Source organism: Homo sapiens, chromosome 13 (assembly GCF_000001405.40).
Source record: "Homo sapiens chromosome 13, GRCh38.p14 Primary Assembly".
NCBI lineage: Eukaryota > Metazoa > Chordata > Mammalia > Primates > Hominidae > Homo > Homo sapiens.
This window is the reverse complement of record NC_000013.11, coordinates 84,831,052-84,833,457: the sequence shown is the minus strand read 5'-3', so window position 1 is coordinate 84,833,457 and position 2,406 is coordinate 84,831,052. Positions and strand designations below refer to the sequence as shown.

Below are 2,406 nucleotides of genomic sequence, written 5' to 3'. Positions count from 1 at the left end.
TCTACCATTTGATCCTGCAGTCCCACTCCTGGGTATCTACACAGAGGAACGGAAGTCTTTATATGAAAAATATACTTGCACACACATGTTGAAAACAGCACAATTTTCAATTGCAAAAAATATGGAACCAGCCCAAATGTCCATCAATCAACTAGTGGATAAAGAAAATGGAATATATATATATACCATGGAATACTATTCAGCCATAAAAAAGAATGAAATAATGGCACTTGCAGCAATATAGATGGAACTGGAGACCATTATTCTAAGTGAAGTAACTCAGCAATGACAAAACAAACATTGTATGTTCTCACTTATAAGTGGTAGCTAAATTATGAGGATGCAAAGGCATAAGAATGATACAATGGACTTTGGGGGCCGGGGATGGGAGGGGGATGAGGGTTAATAGACTACACATTGGGTACAGTACACTGCTTGGGTGATGGGTGCACCAAAATCTCAGAAATCACCATGAAAGAACTTATTCATGTAACCAAACACCACCTGTTCCCCAAAAAACTACTAAAATAAATATGTATATATTTATATATTAAAACAATTCTTTCAGCAATGTTTTGTAGAATAACTTATATGTATTAGGTGGGTTTTGGTGCAATTTTAATTTATATCATGTTAACATTTCCATTTTTTAACTCATATTACCAGTATATTTAAAAATTGATTTCTGTATGTTTATCTTATATTTAACTCCCGTGCTGAATCACTAATTGGTTGATTAACAATTATCAATATTAATAAAAAATAATGATAATGTCACGGGATCCTTGGAGTGTTGCTTTGCTAGCCGGGAAACTCTATAGCTGGCGACACCTTCTGCCTGAGTATTGCTTGTGCCCACTGGGCTTGTTCTGCCCACTCAGCCTGGCAAGTTGTGCTCAGCTCACATTACCCACCAGCATCCCACATCTGCCTAGGGTGAGCCAGGCATGGAGCAATGAGGGGTGTGTGGGTGAGGGAGTGCGGGGTCTGGCTACTAGGCACAGCCATTCACAAAGGCTGCTGTGACGGGGCGGGCAGCTTGGGGCTCTGGCACAGGTGCTGGCTCCCTGTGAGACTGCAACTCCGCCAGATGTACCGCACTCAGTTTCCTCTGTGCTCCCCTGAGTCTGGACAAAGGGAACGCCTTGCTGCCCAGAAGCTTGGAGATGCCAGGAACCGCAGAGCCCGAAAGAGGGTGTTACAGCCCTGGCTCGGGGATCTCCTAGGTCTGGGACTCCTTATGGTGGCCCACAACGTGGCAAGTGGCAGGGGAGGTGGGGAGCTGAGCTTGTTTGTGCTCAAAGCTTCACAGGCAGCCAAGTAGCGGGGGCCGCGGGTAGGGGGAGGGGCTCTGATGTCCCTGCTGCCCCAAACATTTGCACACCCCGCTGGGTTGCGACAAATATCCAGGCTTGACTACAACTTTGCTACAAAATTGGAGTGGGCGCGGGGGAGTGGGGAGAGGCCAGGGAGTGGGAGCAGGCACTTCCAAGCCTACAGGGGCAGAGGTGGCTTCCTGCGCAATGAGAGCTCAAGGTTGCCCAGGTACAGCGCCCTAGCCATGTGGCTGCAGCTGTGTCTGGGAGTGCGGAGCTCCTGCCCTTTTAACTCAGTAGGGGGCGGTGCTCCTGTCTGTGCCTGGCTCTGGTGGGGTCTGTGGAGTGTGCAGACCCAGCTGCACCTCACCTGCTGCAGCCCTGCTGCGTCTTCGCAGAGGCTGCTCCAGACCATCGCTGCCATCGATAATTCTCTGGAGATTGGGTTAATGGGGGGGCTCCAAAATGGACCTATGCTAGTTGCTTTGAGTAGCTATTTTTCAAAACTAGTATAGTCATGAAACAGTTGGTTTCAAAGCCAGGAAGGAGCAGGGAAGGGATGTATAGAAAGAGAGTAAAATGCTAGCGAACTTTCTGTTTTCACCGGGTTTCAACCATTTTTGTTACATACATGTCTTCAGATTTTTTCAAATATTTGGCCAATTTCTCAAATTCTACAAGTGTTAATTTTGACAGTTTTTACCAGTGTTCTTGTTCTTGTTGCTTTCATGGAGGCATAGCCTTTCCGTTTTTACTCCATAACTCTGGTAGTGCTTAACTCTGGTAGCAATATTCATTTAAGCTTAGCTTTACATACACTAATAGTTCAATCTGAAAGTCGTTATATCTCATAAAACCCAACAGACATATCACAGCACTGGCAACTTTTTCTCCAAATGGTTCTCCCATAACTTGTTATCAGAGGAATCATTGAGTAAAAAGTTTGCAAAGAGACAACAAAATAAAGACAACACATATTGCTAATAATTACTTCATGCTTTTTATGTATCTGCATGAATTGTTAACTCTTTTATAAACTAGCATTCATTATATTTTCACATAATTTTCAGAAGACTCTATCCTTGACCAC

General features: G+C 44.6%; 1 annotated feature.

Annotated features, from left to right (window-relative positions):
- Positions 829–1,328: an enhancer, noted in NCBI's record as "H3K4me1 hESC enhancer chr13:85406265-85406764 (GRCh37/hg19 assembly coordinates)". NCBI's record gives its function as "activates a minimal SCP1, AML or CMV promoter by ChIP-STARR-seq in naive H9 embryonic stem cells {active_cell/tissue: H9 hESC(naive)}" and the evidence as "EXISTENCE:reporter gene assay evidence [ECO:0000049][PMID:30033119]".